We start from the raw sequence: 19624 nt of genomic DNA, 5'->3' as shown, positions 1-19624 counted from the left end.
TCTGGTCTAATCTTCATACGGTGGAATAAGTAGCTCTAGTGATCTCCTCCACTGACAGACAGGAGACCGAGACTCAGGAAGTTAACCAGCTAGCAGAGGCTCTGCAGCCTCTCCCCAGGGCTTACTTTCCCTTTATGGAGGGATGAAGATTCTACATGCTGCCTGACACTCTCTGCGCTGCTGAGCTGGCACCTCTGGTGGGAGCCATTTGTTGCTGCTCACTGCCTCAGAACTGGGCGGCCTCATCATCAGGTGGGCGGTTGGTTCCTACTCCGTTGCCCTCACGGGCTGAGGCTGTGCAGCTGGGGGTGCCTGGTGGTGGCTGTGCTTCTGATATCTGTGAACAATATTCATGTTTTTGGCAGAGATTGGAAGCCAGGCCTTTATGTTTCCCCCTCTCCGTCCCCCAGTGACTCAGCTCTAACTTCAGGAAAGAATTTGGGACAGAGGGTGGTCTGGGCTGAATTGTGGCCCCTACAAAATTCCTACACTGAAGCCCCAGCTCCCTGTATCTCAAATGTGACTGGAATTGGAGATAGGGCCTTTAAAGAGGTGATTAAGGTAAATGAGGCCAATATGACTGGTGTCCTTATAAGCAGAGGGGATTAGGATGCAAACACACACAGAGAGAAGACCATGTGTAGACACAGAGAGGATACAGCCATCTATGAGCCAAGGAGAGAGGCCTCAGGAGAAACTAATCTTGCTGACACCTTGATCTTGGACTTAGAGCCTGAAGGACTGTGAGAAAATAAATATCCATTGTTTAAGCCACCCAGTCTGTGCTACTTTGTTATAGCAGCCCCAGTAGATGAATACAGTATGTTATTCCTGTCATCTGAAGCCCAGGGAGGAAAACTGAAGGTTTTAATAACAGTAACAATGTTAATCATCATTGTGAACGTACCTTGCAGCTGAGAATATTGAAAGGCTGTTTTGTGGGTGATGCAACTTGGGCATAAACAGGATGACATGTTTCTTATTGATAGAGCTACATTTCTTTTTAAAATCCCCACCATGCTGGAGTCCCAGGGAATATTCACGAGTGAGTGCTGCCTGATGATACTAGTTCACCTACAGATCAAACGCATACAAAATAATTAACGTTAATTCATCTGTTTATTTCCTGGGAAGTGCTTGTGGCCCTTTCCTTTGGCCATTGTGAACAGGGAGGCGGAGTGTCAGAAGAAGACCTACCCAGGCCTCAGCTTCCTTCTTCTAAACATACTTTGAAATAAGATTTGTCCCGACTCCGGGGGCAGCCAAAGAGCTCGCGGAGGAGCTAGATCACAGAGATATATATCCCAGGACAGCCATAAACGTCTCGGCTTATGATGCATCTGGGTGAGTTACAGAACCAATAGTTTTGATCAAGTGCCCAGCTCTATTCGATTAGCAGAAGGATAATGAGAATTGAACAGGAAAGGGGGCCTGGGGGAAGAGGGTAGGCTGGGCCTTGGGGAAGGTGTTGTGGGAGGAGCTGACGGCTTTTGCTTTATTAGAGGAGCTTGTTCTCTAAGCTTCCTGACCTTTGCAGGGCTGGGGTCCCGGGGTGATCCCTGGGCTCATACAGGAGATAAGAGTTTCTGGATGTAGCTTCCAAACACTATTAACCCTTCTCTCAGTGAGGCTTCCTCCTCCCAAATCGCTTCCCTCTGCATTCATCCCAGTCCTACCTCCCAGCAGCACTGCGAACAGAGAGGAGGAGGCGAAAGCTAATTGTTCAGGTGAATCTACTGGAGAGCGAAGGTGAGAGTCGGGATGGGAAGGAAGCCCTTTGAGGGAGGGAAGGATGAAGGGTGAGAGGCTAGCCATAGTCTTGCTCTCATTCTCGCTGGGCTCTCTAGCCTGGCTGCAGGGTCTGTTCTGGCACTTTCTTTTACCCCTTACTTGGTTACCCTTTTGTTTTTTTTCCTTTTTGACTTCCTCTCAAGGAAGTTCTTATCGTCTTCTTTCCTTATTACCTAGTTTTCTTTTTCCTTGTCTTCCTCTCCTGTCTCTTTCTTATAAGATGCCTTCCCTTTCCTTTTTTCTTCTCTCCTTTTTTCTTTCCTTTTCATTTCTTTCTTCTAATTTTTTCTCAATAGCATTTAGCTACCTCTTTAACATTTACTGGGGTTTAGCATCCGACACACCAGTCATTGCTTGGCACGGGAAACACAATGAAAAAGAGAGATGCACCAGTCCTCCTGGAGTGGAGGGTCTCGAGTGGGACACTGGTGATTAAACACATAGTTATTAGGAGACAGAGGCAGGTCTGGAGAAGGTCCAATGATGAACTCTCCTTTTTTTCACCCAAGACCTGAGCCAACTGAAAAAAGATAAAAAAGTAAGGCAGATGGGAAATCAAAATAGCACTCAAATTAACTAGGAAGCTGCCATTGGAGAATGGAGCTTGTATCTTCAGGCACGTGGGCTGCCTGATGCTGAATCTCAGAGTTGGCCCAGCAGTCCCAGGCAGCCTGGGCCAGGCAAGGCTCCCACTTGCAGCCGGAGAGCCTGCATCTGGGTAAATCCTACAGTATAGCGCAGCAGCTGTGCATAGGATGGGCTTCCTAGAAGAACTTGCTTCTAAGATGAGGGAGGAGGAGGAGGTCTAGGTTACTGAGACCCAAATCTCCCTTCCAGGGCCACTAATTGATATAAATTCAGTATAAATGAGTGAAGGGTGGAGAGAGAGGCCAGGTGTATGGTGCTAGTGGAAGCAGGCTTCATCTGATGGAAAACACCAGGAGTGGAGAAGTGTCTCCTCCAACCCCTCCACCTGGAACACCACTCACAACAGGTGTGTGGGGGTGTGTGTGTGTGAGTGACAGTGCACAGGAGAGGAACCTAACCTAGTATAGGAGTAATGGAAGGCTTCTTCTCTATGTACAAGTGACATTTAATTTGAGACTTCAAGGATTGCTACCTACCTTGATGGGAAAAAGTGCCCATCATAATCCAGAACAAATTAAGCAACATCACACCTCTTCCTCCCTCTCTAACCTTCTTCTGTATAAAATAAAACTCCAGAGAAGTCTTTCATTCAGTTATTCTGTCAACAAATATATATTTAATGCCTATTAAATGCAAGCCACTTTACTAGGCAGGAGAAATGCAAAGATTAATAGGATGTGGCTTCTGGCCTCAAGGAGCATTCAGATTAGTACGCTGGGTAGGGCATACTCACAAATAGCAGAAATTTAGGGGGCAGGGATGGGCATGTTTGTTGCTTGGTGTTGAAACAAGGTAAGAGCTCTAAGTGAGCTATGTTAGAATTTTATAGGGTTCATATGGGGAAGAAAAAACTTCTCGTTAAGGGGAGGAAGTGGTATTTGAGCCAAGCCTTGAATGGCAAATAGCATACAAACCAACAGATACTGACTTGGCCTTCCAAGTAGAAAGAACAGCATCAGCAAAGGCCTGGAGGGAGAAAAATCAAAGGGTATTTGCAGGGATCAGCAGGTTGTCCAGTTTATCTTATATACTACATAAGCAGGAAGATGTCAGAAAAATCAACTTTGAAAAAAAGGTGGGATCCTGGCTGTTGAAAGTTAATGTAATGATCTGTCTACACTTTGGTCACCAATGGTGATAACAGTTGCTAAGCTGGAAGTGTGAAGTGCTCAGATGGGCATTTTAGAACCCTAGACCTCTCCGATCACAGTGCTGTTTGGGTTGGAGGAAGCAAAACATGGAGACAGTATGATGTAGGGCAGCTTTGAGGAGTCCAGGTTAGATGTTCTGAATGTCAACAGTGGCCACCAGGGTGCAGCAAGTGGGCGGCACCTGGGAGTGGGCCCCTTCTAGAGCATGAGGGGAAGCAACAAGGGGCCAGCTTAGTCATGACTGGGGCAGAGAAATTCCTGGGGTGTGGAGTGCAGGCCCCACTGAGAGATGGCTGTGGGGCTTCAGCAGAATAGGATCTCGTGCCAGGTCCTGGGTGGTGGGGATGGAAATGGGGAGACCTGATCAGGCCGGCTGGTGTTCAGTGAAACCTGTGAGGTTCTGTAGGAGAATGAGGGTTTGTGAGCCCTCTCTGTTTGACCTTGCATCGTTATGTAAAAATTAGATTCCCCAAAGGGGGAAACTACAATAAAAACAAGTCCCAGAGAGATACACTTAGAGACAAGATGAACTCATGATTGTGGAGAAGCCAGGTCAGAGCATTGCTCAGAACCCTGTGTGCAGGTCGCTGCCGTGGGATGTTGTCACTTCCCTCCGGAGCTGCCAGCCCTCCTCCATTATTGCTTGGACTTTATGACTCCCTTGTTCTCAGAAGGAGAAAGGAGCTTATTAAGTGAAGTGGCTGCCAAGTGTATTTTAAGACGAACAAAGCCTAGATCATTTTTTTTGCTCACCGCATACCATACATAATTGTACGAAGGGTGGGATTTATTTGGTTAGCATTATGATTTTTTCCCCCAAGCTTAATTACAGTGGAAAAAAGGCAACTACAACTTGAAAGAAACAAGCTCCACGGTCATGGAGACCAGCATGACCATTCTGGGTTTGAAACGTACTTTCTTTGTGAAGGGAATTAATTGTATATGAAACTTTGGGGCTTACGTAAAACACATTTTTATGAAAATAAACTTGAACAGTCATTAAAATGAATAGTTGTTTTAAATAAGACTCAAATTACATGGTGGTGCCATGTAATTTTAGATGCCTCCTTTATTGGCTTTGTTTTGGGTTTAACTCTGCATTTGCTAAGACAATATCAGGGCCCCAGAGGTAAGTCTTAGCTTATAATTGGGAATCGAATGTATAATTCCAACGACAGATTATTAGGGGAGGTAAGGAAGTGAAAAAGCCTGTACAGTATTTAGGTCCAAATAATTCATGAATAAGTAATTATATGTTGGAAAAGTCCAACATGTTAGCAGGAAGTGTTGTGGCCTGATGGTTTGGCCTCAGACTAAGGAGCCGATTATGAAACTTGGCCTTCCGGCTTTGGGACATTCCCTGGGCAGCCTATAAATCAAAAATGTGATGGTCCCTACTGTTTCAACTGCCAGCACTGACATGCGGTATCTCTGACTTGGAGATCTGTGTGGTTCAGGGAGAGCCCAGAGCTGAGCCCTCAGCTGGGATTAGGCCACGTTGAAAGCTGAATAGTGCACCTCTCTGGGGTTCATCAGGGTGAGAACATGTGGCCGTGGACTTAGGGAGCCCACAGAGTTGTGTCCAGAAAGGTAGAGGAGCAGCTTGGGCTAGATGGCTCTGTTCTTGGTGTTCTGTTCCTTCCCCTGTCCCTGTCCCCTCATTTTGGGAAGAGGAGGTGAGCGACATACCTGAGCAGTGCAGACTCAGCTCCTGTTCTGGGGCAGGTGGGAAAGTACATCCTTTTTAACTGGGGAGAATCTGAGCCCATGGTCTCCAATCCTCAGGTGAGTGCCTCACTGATTTTCAGTCCCCGGGAACCTCCTACCTGTGCTCCTTACTCCACTAAATCACTAGTAGGACAGGATCTTGTGCCAGGTCCTGTCTTCCTCACTGCAATGAGATACGTGTAGCTATTTAGATAAAAACCTGCATAAGAGGAAAGAAGAGAAGCTCTTAGAGTCACACGTAGGGCTATTCAAGAAGGGGTCCTCATCCGGCTTCGCCCTGAGGTTCGTCCTTTAACTGATGGCTATTGCCTCGATGCCAGCATAGGTAATGAAGCCATCTTGTGTTTCCCATAGAGTTGTTTTGAGTTATCAGCAATGCAATACCTTATCCTATATAGCAATGCCGTACCTTATCCTATATAGCAATGCCCTTTTCTACCCACTTCTTGGATTCCCTGATTCAAACCAGTTCTCACTTGGTTTGAACAGAGAGACCAGCAACCACCCAAGGCCTCCAGATTGGTGTGAAGGTTGTTTAGCGAGGAGAGAGAGAGCACCCAGGTGGCAATTGCCAGGCAACAGAAAGTTCCCAGGGTGGAGTCTCCTGCAACCTCCCAGAGACCCATGCAAGCTACTGCAGGAGGTCTTCTTGGCTCCTGCAGGGGGTGCTGGATGTTCTCTCCCTGCCACCCTCACCACATGCATTAGTCCCAGGTCCCTTGGAGTAGTGAAGCTGCTTAGATAGCTCCCTTATCCTTAGGCGTGAGGCTGACCCCCACATCTCAGTGGTCATCTCCTGAAAGGGAGGACCAGGTTGGCCTCACCTTCTGTGCTCCATATAGAGGGACCTTAGGGCAAGGCGGGGAACACTATAGGTGCGTGGAAAGACTTGTCAAATGATTTATTTGTGGTGGTGGAAACATTTAAACCTAGAAGTTCTGAAGTGCATTTTGGTCTGGCCCCAAATGCATGACTGGAAACATGGGGTCTTGACATTTCTCTTCCCTTTCAATGGCATGGCTCAGTGAATCAATTCAAACCCATTAAGATTCTCAGAATGACAGGAGGAGAAAATCCTGCCAGTGAACACTCTTAGGATACTGTGACTGAACACCATTTCCTTGGACCTGGACTGTTTTCTCATTTTTAAAATCCCATCAATTGCAATCCTTCCTCGAGGTCGAGTATCTGGTTTTTACTTTCCTATTTCTTGACACAAAAGCCCATAGCAAAGGCTTGTAGATCCATGAATTACATACTTGTTAGTAACACCGTGTTGCCTCATGTTCAAGAGGTAATGTGGAAAGAGGTCTCAATTTTTCTGGGTTTGTAAATCTAAAGAGATAATTGCCTTCCAAAGACTGGCTGTGGGGTCCAGGGTGAGGAAACCTGGCATGCAGACCTGGGCTTGCCTCCTAACTCTTGTGTAATCTGTTTGTAGCATGTTCAAGCAACACCGTGTGTGTGCAAGTGTGTGAGGGAGTGATGTCTTAAGCAAACTGTTTTTTCTGTGGGAACACAAAAAAATCTAAATTAAACACATCTTCTCCAGGAGCACATCTGTTGCACAGAGTGAAGCCCATTCCATCAATACAGTTGCCTGCAGTGCAATGAAGTCATTCTCATCTAATTCCTAAAACCTGAAATGAGGATAACAGGCCAGTATTAAATATTAAAGGGTTTTTTTTTTTTTTTTTCACATTTTGCCGTTCTCTTCCAGAGAACACAAAGAACACTGACATATTTTCCAGAGCTCAGGTGGATAGCTAATGGACTGGAGAAGCTTTCAACTCAACTGAAGCGATACATAAAGAGAAAACTTAATTACAGTCAGGATTCAGTGGGTTAACTCGGTAAACAAATAGCCACCATAGAGTAGCCGCCGTATTTCATAGTATCTAAGAAACTATTGATTTTAAGAGGCACCGTTATTTTATGTACCTCTAAGAATAAAAAAGTACTGTCAATTAGACTATGACCACAATGCTTTATAACTTAGAATTATAATTTTAGATTTATTGAAAAAGCTCTTTAAGTTTATTTAGATACTGTGCACACACTAAAATAAACATATAAGCAACATAAGTTGGCTGCAATATTCCTAAGCTGTTTTCACACAACAGGCTCTTCTGAATACTCTCTGACTCTGAGTTGCTGGTGTCTGTGGGTCTGTATGCAGCGCCTCCCTCCATGACATCAAGAGCAGTGATAATCATCGTCTCTTCCCACATCACTGCCCTATTGATCTGGGGTTTTCTTCCCAGACCCTCATACCAATTTATAAGCTCTGGAACTGGTGCTTTCCTGATCTTACCAGAAGGCAAAAACCCAAGACTCATGTTCTTTTCTCAAATGATTCTTAAATGGTTTGCTGACTAAAAAATCAAGGTTTGCAATGGTCTCATTCTTCCACTAGAACAACAACCAGGTGTCCTCATGGGTGGGCACTGGCAAAGCCATGACCTTCATCTTGCTTAGCAACAGTTTAAGATGCCACTATCAGCATTGTGTTGGGCTGCCCTGGTAAGCTGCTTCCTACTTCCTTCCTCTCTAATCTCACATAACCATTATTTGCAGAGAAATCTTATGTATAATTCATTAGATGCATGGATAAGGATGCCTGATATCCTAATTGCTAGGCCCTGTATGTTTATTCCATGGAACTGAGAAGTGGAAGAGAGATGGTGAAGTCTAGATTCTTGCCTTTAAGGCCCAGCAACTGCACTCACTAGTAAAATGTGGCTCAATGAATGGTCAGCTTAAATAGCTACTGCTCCAGAAAGTCTTACCCAGTAGCCTTGCTGTGCGAGCCTCATACCTGGTACTTAGCTCTGTCGTAGCACATTCCATGCTGTATGGTGAGGTTCTATTTACTGTGTCCTCCTTGAGAACAGTCATCTTAGTAACCCCAGTGCATTGTGCAATGACTAGATTTTGGGTGAATGTTTGTCAAAAGATTGAGGCTGAAGAGGACAGGGCAGGAACGTTCAGGGGCAGGGAAATGTCAGCCAGATTTGGAGAAGGTGGAATTGTGCTGCTTGGCTGAGGTGGAGAGTGTGTGAGAGGAAGCAGTGGGAAGCTGGAACATGACTGTAGGCTGGTTCCAGGTAATGGAGGGCCTTGAGTACTACCAGAAGGGAGGCTACTTGCTTGTGCAGAACCTGGCTTAGACTATTTCAGGGCATCTAAGTGTAATCCAACTTGGACATGGAGTCACAGAGGACAATGTGGCAAAATGAATTGGTTACTATTAACCATATACCAGATGAGGTTATCCAAACAGAGAACCTGATACACCTGGAACTTCAGTAAAGTAGGTTATGTTTTCATAGTGGCATTCATTCATTTGCTCATTCATAGATTCTACTAGGATTAATGGATGATGACCATGTACCAGGCACTGAGGACACCTGGGATGAATGTTGCAGAATTTGTACCTTGAAGGATATCACAGTCTAATGGGGGAGACAGATCTGTGTATATCCACATATTTAAATTTGGATATATGAATATATAAGGAATTTGTACAATAGAAAGTATTTGGGATTCAGAGTGTTGCATTCAAAGTACTGTGGAGGTACAAGGAGGGAGAGACCGTCTTTACATGGGTGGGTCAAAGAAAATCTACAGGGCCAAGATGATTCTTAAAATATTTGTGACCAAGCCAGAGATAACTGTCTTCTATAGACATATTTCCCACAGAAGAGTGGTAGCCCCTATCAAAGAAGGGTGCAGAAAACGATGTGTACTCCATGGAATGCACAGTGTGTATTAGCATATTAAAGGCATATTGAAGACCAACAGTACAAACAAACAAACAAGAAACCCCCAACCTATTTGGCTTGTGTAATCTACCATTTTCTAGACTTAGCTGACCACTGAATCTTTCTATGGCAGAATACCTGTTAATATCTGAACACCTATTAACGTATCACACCTGTTAATTTCTTCATGTTACAGTTTAGGAAACATGTCTGATGACCTGTTTTGGGTGGGGGCTTCTCTGAGGCCAAGAAGCATTGGATGTCCTTCCTAATCCTATGGTTTTCTGCTGTCCTTAGAGTTCTCATTGAGAATTGATATTTGTCATAAGTGTAGGAATGCATGTGCTCATAAGCATGGTTTGTGCCTTTCAGTATCCAAAATTAACACAAAAATATAAAGTGCTGTGGAGCTACAAGGAGGGAGGGACCATCTTTACATGGGTGGGTTAAAGAAAATCTACAGGGCAAAGATGATTCTTAAAATATTTGTGACCAAGCCAGAGATAACTCTGCCTCAAAAGCCATATAATTTTGTATGGGAAGGAGTGTTATATTGAGATCAACCATCATTCATTGCACTGTAAAATGCAAAGGATGTTTATGAAATAATTTAGAGACTGAAAAAATGCGTAGGCATTGGCCACTGTGCTTCGTGAGTACTTCTACTAGGGGCTTCTAAGACTTTCTGGCTACTTGCAATGCTTTCTCAGACTTTAGTTTTATATATAATTTTGGTAACAATGCAGAAAAATTCCTTGTCAAATTATCTGGAGATGTTTCTTCTCAGTTGCTGATTGCTATAAAACTCAAAGCAAGAAGGATTCCTATTGTTATAATGAAAAAAGTTCAGCTTTACCTGAGCAATAACAATAAATGCTCACCAGTACACTTACTCTGAAAATTCTACTGTATATGGAAGATTTGGAATGACTTTGACTGTTCGATCATTAATATTCTGGATTGGTATATCCCTGTGAAACGTGTCTATAAAGTGAAATCTCATATCCCAAACACAGATTTCCAGTTTAACCAGAACTGGGGTCTATTTCTGGTCTATTTTGATTCTCAGACCCATAGGCCATACTCAATTTCTACATCTTGCTTGGTTGGCTGAGAGCATTAAAGTAACAGCCACACTCAATCTCTAGCCTTCCAGAAGCACATTCTCCTCCTTTCACTCCAGAAAGAGACCATAGCAGAGTTGAGCAAAGTATTGCAGCCCATGACCAGAACAGCATCTCAAGTGGTGGTTTTGTGATTGAGAGGAGGTTGTTTCAGGGCTGACACTATTTCCTTTGCGTGTATTTGGATAAGGAGGGTTTGAGAAGTATTTGTTAAATGAATGAAGGAGTGAATGAATGAATGCATGGCAGGTCAGCTTGAGCAATGTTCAGACTTGAACTTTTCACAGACCAGAGGGTAGATCAGTGGATGTCTGAGGCAGGGCAGCCCTCTCTCCTTGTCTTCCACATTTGTCGTAAACCTGACCAGATGAAATTCAGTGAGTCCTCAGTATAGCTAGATTTGAAAACATCGCCCTTCACCCTCCTTTCAAAGTGTGCTCCCCTCCACAGCCCTCCAGCCAAGCCCCCTCTGTCTGGGAAAGGTGCCAGGAGGGAAGAGTCCATGAGCAAGCCTCAGAAGGCATCTGAGGGTGATGAGAAAAACACATCTCACTGTGCACACAGCTCCTTCTGCCTCGGCTTTGCCTGTGTGAGCTTGTGGGAGAGGCTGGAAAGCACATTCTTTAAAATCTTGGCCCTTAAAAGGAATGCATCTTGGGCTGAAATGTCAGCTTGGCTGTGCCTTGACTGCAGGACAGTTCTTTTATTGCTGGCTTTTTGACATGATAAAACCCAGCCCCTTCCCTTCCACTGTGGGAATGGTTCATAGAACTGATGAAATTTCAAGCCCTCACTCAGCCAAACTGTATTGGATTTTTATCACAATACAAAGATTTTATAAATTGCATTTCTATCCTTCCTCTTTAGCCTCCTCCCCCACCACCCCCATCTCAAAACCATGTCTTATCTGGAACCAGCTGCATTAGATATCCAAGTAAGTCTTTACTCTGGACCCTGGGGTCAGTCACATCCATTTCTCTCCACCTTTTAAAAAGCCAGCCTGAGCTTGCACCACTCTGGCCTGCAGCAGGCTGGGTCAGGCTGTGGGTGGCCGGAAGATGAGCTCATGCCCTTGTCTCACTGCCCGGCTCATAGCTCATCTTGCTGAACTGTCACTTGCCGAGTTAAATCTGAGTTTTGAAACATCATTCTTCAGCTATTTATTTTTGTCTTTGGAGATTTTTAAGCACTACTTTAAATGTATTCCAGCTTTGTTTGGAAATTTGGCTTTGCTGACTTCTGACCTTACAACAGTCCCCCTGAGTTTAATTGCCTGATGTTACTTTGGAATCAACTAGAATTTACTTCTTCCCTTTCCTAGCATTTAGACAGAAAATCTGTCACTCCTACAGACATGGGCCTTCTCCCTGGCTTCCTTCACCTCCTGTCCTGGATTTTCCTAGGCAGTCTATGTGCCTCTGAGCCAGGGATGGCAGTGATCAATCTGTGCTTTCTGAAAGAAGGGGCTGATCAAACATTTCCATAGACAAACATTTGTGGGATATCTACTCTATGAAGGGCATGTAAAATGGAGCCTCCATTGAGACAACAGCTTCATCTTCATTTGTTCATTCTCGTGCTTGGGTGTTCTGTGTCCTAGCACTGCAGTAGGCACTGATGAGTAATAAAGAAATATAGTCTACTTTTTAGGAGTTTAAACACACATGGATTTAAGATGTACGTACTCACAGCAGAGTTCTATCTCAGCAGCACAAAGGTGTCACAAACAAAGTCTCTGGGTTCGTGGGCAAGAGGATGTTGCATGCTGAGAATGAAGCAGACGTGGTAATCTACCTATAACATTTCCTGAGCTTTGATCCTTGGTAAAGGCTTCTGCAGGGACTGAGGGAGACAAAGAGAAGAATCCATCTCGATCCCTAGCCTCAAGGAATTGACAATCTAATAAAGGAGGAGGCTCATGCAGTACACTGCGAATTCTTGTCTAGAGAGAGGCATAATCCTGAGATTATGAGGTGTGGCCAGCAGTCACTGTCCAATTAGGACCTAGTCATCCGCTCATCGGCCCCTGGGAGTTAATGATGGTTCTAGAAAGTCTCAATTTCCAGCCACAGCTGGCAGGGATGACCAGCCACACTGGCAACCACCTTAGCTTTGGTGATTGTACCTTTCCATCCTTTCTCCAAACCAGGTTCTGGTCATTTCCATTTTCTAGCTTCCTAAGTAACTTCGATTTTCAATATAGTTGCAAGTATCTTGGGTCTCTTAATTTGACAAAATAGCTTTTAAATAAGGACAGAGACATTGGAAAAAAGGGCATGACAGATTTTCACCTTATCTCCCAAGCCACTAACCACTGGTCCTTACTTGCCTGACCCTTTGAGTACTGCTGTGAGGGTGGGAAGTATGTCTGCAGGAGGGGAGGAAAGGCCTTTTAGGAATATGCATTCAGGAATCCAAGGGTTGAATTCCTTTGGGTTTCTGTTAGAAACAGCTTTGTGTCCCTGTGCCCAGAGAGGCGGTTTTATTTACAGTTCTTTCTCATCTCTTTGACTAGGTGGGGATTGCCAGGCTGGAGGAATGTTTGTGCTATACCCTGTAAATGTCCTCTGAAAGTCTTCATATCTTTTCTCTTTACCATCCCCTTTTCCTGTGTGTGCATGTACACACATGAACACACAAATGGACACATACAGGATCCTCAAGATGTATATGGCATGGGGAATGTGTGGCCATTTTGCAAGACCAAACTTGTAAGGCCATGAAGTGCTAGACAAAGCCCTGGCCTGGGAGCTGGGAGGCTTCAGTTCTAAGTCTGGTTTTTATCTCAGTGTGGCCCTAGGCAAGTTCCTTTCCCTTTTGCATTTTATGTTTCTCAATAGCATTATTAGGTGTTTGACAATACAATCTCTAAGAGCTTTCTATGATTCTAAGGATCTTCCTTTCTATCTTATTGGCCTCTCCTGGTATCAGGTAGGGGCTAGAGTTTTGGAACCAAAGCTGAAAATTGAGTCCAAATACGTTGTCCATCAATTAGCTCCAGGGAAACCCTGGGTGCCAGGGTGCAGTACCTGGGTGTGGCTGATGGGGCAAGGGGAGGGACATCAAGGAACCAGGGCTGCTCTAATGCCCATGCCTACGGGGTCCTTTAATTATTCCTGGGCCTAATGTGCACAGGTGGACTGATTTATTTAAGGGGACTACAGTGGAGTAAATTCTAACCTTTTATATTCAGTTCTGTAAAAGGGGAGAACTGACATTTTCCTTCATGGAAAGTATGTTTTCCTTTATATTGTCCTTCCTCAGTGGCCTTCCAAGTGGTTTAAAATGAAATACACTTAAACCAAATGCAGATTAAATCATCTTAAACACACAAACCAAATCCAGGAGGCTCTCAAGCAGAGGTGGGGACACAGTAGTTTTGCCTGGAGGTACCCAAGGACTATGGCTGCACAAGGGGGAGGCAGCTGAGCCTTACATTATGATCTGTGAGTTTCACTCCAGTGGGAAGAACTGGACTCACTTCAGATCCTGAAGAGATGCAAGTAAGTCTTCTCTCAAATTCAAAAGTCTAGAATGGTTACCTCAGCCAACAGCCTAATTGTAACCATGGAAGGGACTTTGTGGGCAAAGTTGTGAGTTCTGGGAGAAACATGTCTCATTCAGGTCAGGGATTTCAGTTGGTCCCCCCTTCTTCCATGATCCAGGTGACTCTTCCTGGCAACCAATTTGGAGTTTCTGAAGGTTGGAAAATGTTCCAGCACAGCTCTTCCGTCCTAATCATTAGTTTTTCATGCATCTACCAACCATCCATCCATCCATCCCTCCTTCCATCTCTCTGTCCATCCATCCTTCCATCCATCTGTCAATATAGCAAACACACTGTGAGCATTTATTGCAAGGACGGTTTGAGCAAAATGCAAATCTGCACCATTGTTTAAAACCATACAGTAGCTTTATAACTATATACATGAGTCATATCACTTTCCTCAAGTGTGGACGTGATGCAGCTCACTTAGGACAATGGCACTGTAAACTTGTCACACCACTGTTCTGCATCTTTTACTTGCTAAGATGTTGTTTGTCTGACATACAACAGGCTAGTTTGCTCTATCATGCTGACTCATCATATCGGTATGCCGTGATGATATACTAAATATGTGCTGTGGTCATGCCATGGTAGGTTGTAAAGACAGTGCCAAAGATGTCATGTCTGTCACTATGACATGGTGTACCTGCTATAATAATTGGTTTACTTGTGTGTCATCATGATGAATGGTACCTGTCTCTCCCTATGACATGAGGTATCTGTCTATCAAGGTGTCATTGTAGTATTTTTCCATCATGATGACACAGAATATCTGTTATGGTGACCAGGTATGCCTGTTAGTCACCATGGTATACCTGTCTGTCACATAGTTGTATGACACCATACCTACCAGCTATGATGATATGGTGGATCTATCAGTAGTGGTGATAGGAGGTATCTGGCTGTAACAATGGCACAGGGATCCTGCTTTTTGATCTTATGTGTTAGTTTCCCAGTGGCTCCATAGATCACCTTCTGTTCAGTTCTGTGTTGGTTGTCTTATCTAATCAAGTTAGTGCTCCAAATTTTTGCAATGCCCCCGAGCTGAACTTTCTTCCCCTTACCTGCTGAACTTGCTATTCTTAGCTCAAGAAATGGCCCTTATTATTGGTGTCATCTTGAACTACCTCCCAAACCTCAAACTTGAGACTCACCTGAGTCTCCCCTCTCTTCTTATTGCACAGTCACCAAGTCCTATGGCATCACTTCCTAATTATCCCCTAACTCATCCCCTTGTCTCCGTTCCCACTGCTCCAATTAGAGCTGTGGCCCTGGCTTTCCTGCCTCCAGAGGTGCCCCTGGTGAATCCATTCTCAACCCTATAATCAGACTGATCACTCTAGCACAGAGTGATCATGTCAGCCTCCTTTTCCAAGACCTGAAAACTGGCAATGGCACTTTACATTTTCCAAATGCAATTGAAATCTCAGATTCTCATTCCAGGTGTCTGGGATTTGGCCCTGACCACTTTTTACCCCTTGTCTCCCAGTACTTCTCTTTTAACCCTATTCTCCAGCCCCTCACTTGGCTCCTTTTTTATTCATGCCACTCTTACCATCAGACACTCACAGGCTGCGTGAATGTGAATACTGGCTCCATAATCCAAGGAGTATGTCATCTTAGGTGAGTTACCTAACTGCTCTGTGCCTCAGTTTCTCCATCTGTAAATTGGATAAACAATACACCTACCTTATCAGGTTGCAGTGAAGATTAAAAGAGTTAATTAATATAGAGGACATATAAAACTGCCTGACCCCTACCAAGCACTCAGTACATGTTAGTTATCGTTACTGTTACTAATTTTTTTTTGAGACAGAGTCTCACTCTGTCACCCAGGCTGGAATGCAGTGGCACTATCTCAGCTCACTGCAATCTCCACCTCCCAGGTTCAAGTGATTCTCCTGCCTCAGCCTCCCAAAGCTAGGATTACAGGCATGTGCCACCATGCCAGGTTAATTTTTCTATTTTTAGTAGAGACAGGGTCTTGCCATGTTGGCCAGGTTGGTCTCGAACTCCTGACCTCAAGTGATCAGGCCGCTTCGGCCTCCCAAAGTGCTGGGATTACAGGTGTGAGCCACTGTGCTAGGCCTATTAATCTTTTTTAATCCTTTTGTCTATATCCAGATTAGATGCCCTCTTCCATGAATTTCCTTTATCAAGTATTTCCTAAACACCCAAAGCTAGACATTGAATCTTCTGTGGGGTCACTCTTTGGCATTTATCACATTTTGCCTTATTTTATTGTTACTGTCATATGTACTTTAATAAACTCTAAGTTCTTAGAGGTAAAAAACGTATTTTAGGTGTCTTCGTCAGCACCCAGAACAATAAGTAGCACAATAAATAACAATAAATGAATCCGTGATTGTTTACTTCTTCTCTTTGAGATTGTAAAGATCTGGACTTTCTGATCATCTGGAAACAATCAACTCAGATGCTCACGGCACATGCTGAGAGACTCCTGCAGGTCGCTGAGACAAGGGGTGGTGAAATATTTAACAGCACAGGCTCTGACCCATCAGAATGAAGGCTGGCATAAACCACCAAGATGGTGGCACTGGCGTGTCCCAGCTGAACCCCTGAGATAGTGAGGATGCCCTCGGCCAAATAGGAGAACTCTGACTCAACTGCCTTGAACAAGAAGGGATTTACTCTCTCAGAGAAGAAGCCTGAACATAGGGTCACTCCACGTTAGTGACTTCAGGACTCAACTGCACGATGGAGGACCCAGGCTCTGTTCCCAGGAACTGGCTGTCTTCAGGTTGTCCTCCCTACAATAGCTTCCTAACAATTCCTGAGACAGAACACAAGAGAGTGTGCTCCTTTTTATCAGAAAGAGAAACTTTACCCTGCAGCCCCAACAGATCTCATCTGACATACCATTGGTCAGAATTTAGCCACAGGACTGTGCCTAAACCAGCCACCAGCAAGGAGAATGCAACCTCCATGTTAGCTTTTACCAATCACAATTTACTCAAGTCAGGAGGAAGAGGAATGGGCACTGGAGCAAAATCAAGGCTCTCCTAGCCTGAAGGAAGAGGGTTTTGGCCACTGATAACCAAAGACATCTGCCAATCACTCTTTATAAACAGGAGAGAGACTCTGCCACTGCATCTAAATAAACCTTGTACTTATTCAAATTTTAGATGAAAAACAAACATCACCAAACAAATCATATTCACCTGTAAATAAAACTGAATATGATCCAAATACAGGCTGGCCTTTGGGTGAAAAATCTCCACATTAATCAGAGGTTGTCCAGCTCCATATCTCCCAAATCCTGAAAATTATTCCATCACTTGAGCCTCCAGGGTAATTGCTTATGATTTGAGACAAACAAGATAAACATACATTTCTTCAAAGAAAGGCCTACTTCTACCAGCTATAAAGGCATACAAACAAAATTTTCAGTGCTGTTATATCTTATTTCTGTTTTTTTTAATTTTTTTATTTTTTTGAGATGGAGTCTTGCTCTGTCACCCAGTCTGGAGTGCAGTGGCACGATCTCAGCTCACTGCAACCTCCGCCTCCCAGGTTCAAGTGGTTCTCCTGCCTCAGCTTCCTGAGTAGTTGGGATTACAGGTGCACACCACCATGCCTGGCTAATTTTTTTATTTTTAGTAGAGACGGGGTTTCACTGCGTTAGCCAGGCTGGTCTCGATCTTCTGACCTCGTGATCCACCTGCCTTGGCCTCCCAAAGTGCTGGGATTACAGGCTTGAGCCACCGTGCCTGGCCATATCTTATTTCTAATTACTCATGGGTCAGTCTTTCAGTGGCTTTCATTGTCTATTAGAAAAACAAAAACAAAACAAAACAAAGAACCTCAGCAAAATGCCCAAGGCCCTCTGCACCTGGGCTCACTCTGACTCACCATCCTGTCACCCCCTGTGCCCAAGAGCTCCTGGCTTTGCAGCCACATGGATATACTTGAATGGATTGGACACATCTTGTTCTTTTTCTTAATTTTTGTTTTCTTGGTCTTTCATTCTTTGTCTTTCTGGCAACTTCTAGCCATCCTACAAGACCTAATTCAATTGTCCCCTCCTTTGTCAGAAGCATGACCTTTTCTAGGCCTTCCCAGGCAGGTCATTGTGCCTCTGCCTGTGTATGGCTCAGCCTTAAAGCACCCCTCTGTTGGAGCCATTGCCATGTTGCTGTAATTCTGTGATCTGCTGGCACCTGGTTTCCTTAAGCTGAGGGGTCACTTCTACATTCTCTGCCACCACCTTCTGGCATAGACCCAGTACACATCATGGGGATAAGGGTGGTAAATAAATGGTTACATGTATAAGCTTATAGTTTTCTTTTTCTTTCTTTTTTTTTTTTTGAGATGGAGTCTGGCTCTGTCGCCCAAGCTGGAGTGCAGTGGCGCGATCTCAGCTCACTGCAAGCTCCGCCTCCTGGGTTCACGCCATTCTCCTGCCTCAGTCTCCAGAGTAGCTGAGACTACAGGCGCCCAGCACCACTCCCGGCTAATTTTTTGTATTTTTAGTACAGACGGGGTTTCACTGTGTTAGCCAGGATGGTCTCGATCTCCTGACCTTGTGAGCCACCTGCCTCGTCCTCCCAAAGTGCTGGGATTACAGGTGTGAGTCGCCACGCGGCCACTTATAGTTTTCTTAATACATTAGAGATAACTTGGTGGATGTGTTACCTATTACCCTCCTTCAAGACAAGGTCCAATTTAAGTCATAATCTGATCATTTATGAACAGATTAGCTCCTTGCAAATGGGCACATTTCTGCATCTTTACCTTGACATATATGCACTAATGGCAGCAAGAACCATTAACGAATTCATTATTTCTGAATCCTAGTTGCACTTTCACTTGCTAAGGTTAATTATTGATTTGTTTTATTCTGTGATTAAAGCCATTAGCCACTATTAGCAAATGACGATGTTTAGGCATGTTTGAATATCAGCTGGGTTGCATTTCATAGCAGGGGCCCAAGCTAAATTAGCACTCTCTGGGACTGACATCTAGAATGGTGATACGTGCACTTGCTGAAGGGGGCCAGTGATTTTTCCACGATTAACAGGACCTGATTGCCTTTGCTAATTATTCTTCCTGAGCATAGACACTGGCTGGAATTTACCTTTAGTTAATTTGGCCTCTGTCCTTATCTGAATTTGAATGACCAGAGACTCCTGAGCAGGAGTCCTAGGAGGTCTAAGAAGTCCCTTGGCTTCAGTGCCTACAGACCCTGCTTTTAACTTTCCTCTAGCAGGGAGGTGGAATGGGCTCATTTTCTCTTTGAAATATTTGGGAATAAAATTTGCAGCTCAGGGCTTGGCTTCACCTGGACACAACTTCTGCCAATGAGGAAGAGACTGCTTTTCAGAGCCCTCTCTGAGTGGGTCATGCCCTTCAGCTGTGCCCTCATTTGGGGAAGGTTGGCCTGAATGTACCTGGCACCAGTGAAACTGAGTTTTAGATGCAGGGAGCGTGGAGACCAGGGTTGAAGCCCACCCTTCATTCTCTGTGTTAATTAGGGAAGATGAACTATTGTAATAACAGCCCCCAAATCTCAAAGGCTTAGCATCTCACATCCAATGTGGAGTTGCCAGTGGTTGGGAGGGTGGGGGCTCTGCTCTAAAGAATACTTCCTTCTGGTGGCTCTTCCACCTCCAAGGGCCTTGGGGTCCTCCCCAGTCTTCTCTGTGACCCTGCCTACAGCCATGCAAATGGAGGTGGAAGACTGTGTGGGAGGCTCGGCTCTGTGGGTTGGACCTGGAGGAGCACCCATCCATCCTGCCCATATTCCCATTGGCCAGAACATGTATACAAGCAACCGCAAGGAGAGTGGGAAATGTAACCCGACAGCTCTGTCTGGCAAAAAAGAGAAACAGTTTTGAAAAGAACCCACTG

At 44.6% G+C, this 19624-nt stretch overlaps 1 annotated feature.

Annotated features, from left to right (window-relative positions):
• Positions 243 to 743: an enhancer, noted in NCBI's record as "H3K27ac hESC enhancer chr2:23520344-23520844 (GRCh37/hg19 assembly coordinates)". NCBI's record gives its function as "activates a minimal SCP1, AML or CMV promoter by ChIP-STARR-seq in primed H9 embryonic stem cells {active_cell/tissue: H9 hESC(primed)}" and the evidence as "EXISTENCE:reporter gene assay evidence [ECO:0000049][PMID:30033119]".

This window comes from Homo sapiens, chromosome 2, assembly GCF_000001405.40.
Source record: "Homo sapiens chromosome 2, GRCh38.p14 Primary Assembly".
Classification (NCBI taxonomy): domain Eukaryota; kingdom Metazoa; phylum Chordata; class Mammalia; order Primates; family Hominidae; genus Homo; species Homo sapiens.
This window is presented reverse-complemented; position numbering and strand designations above follow the sequence as displayed.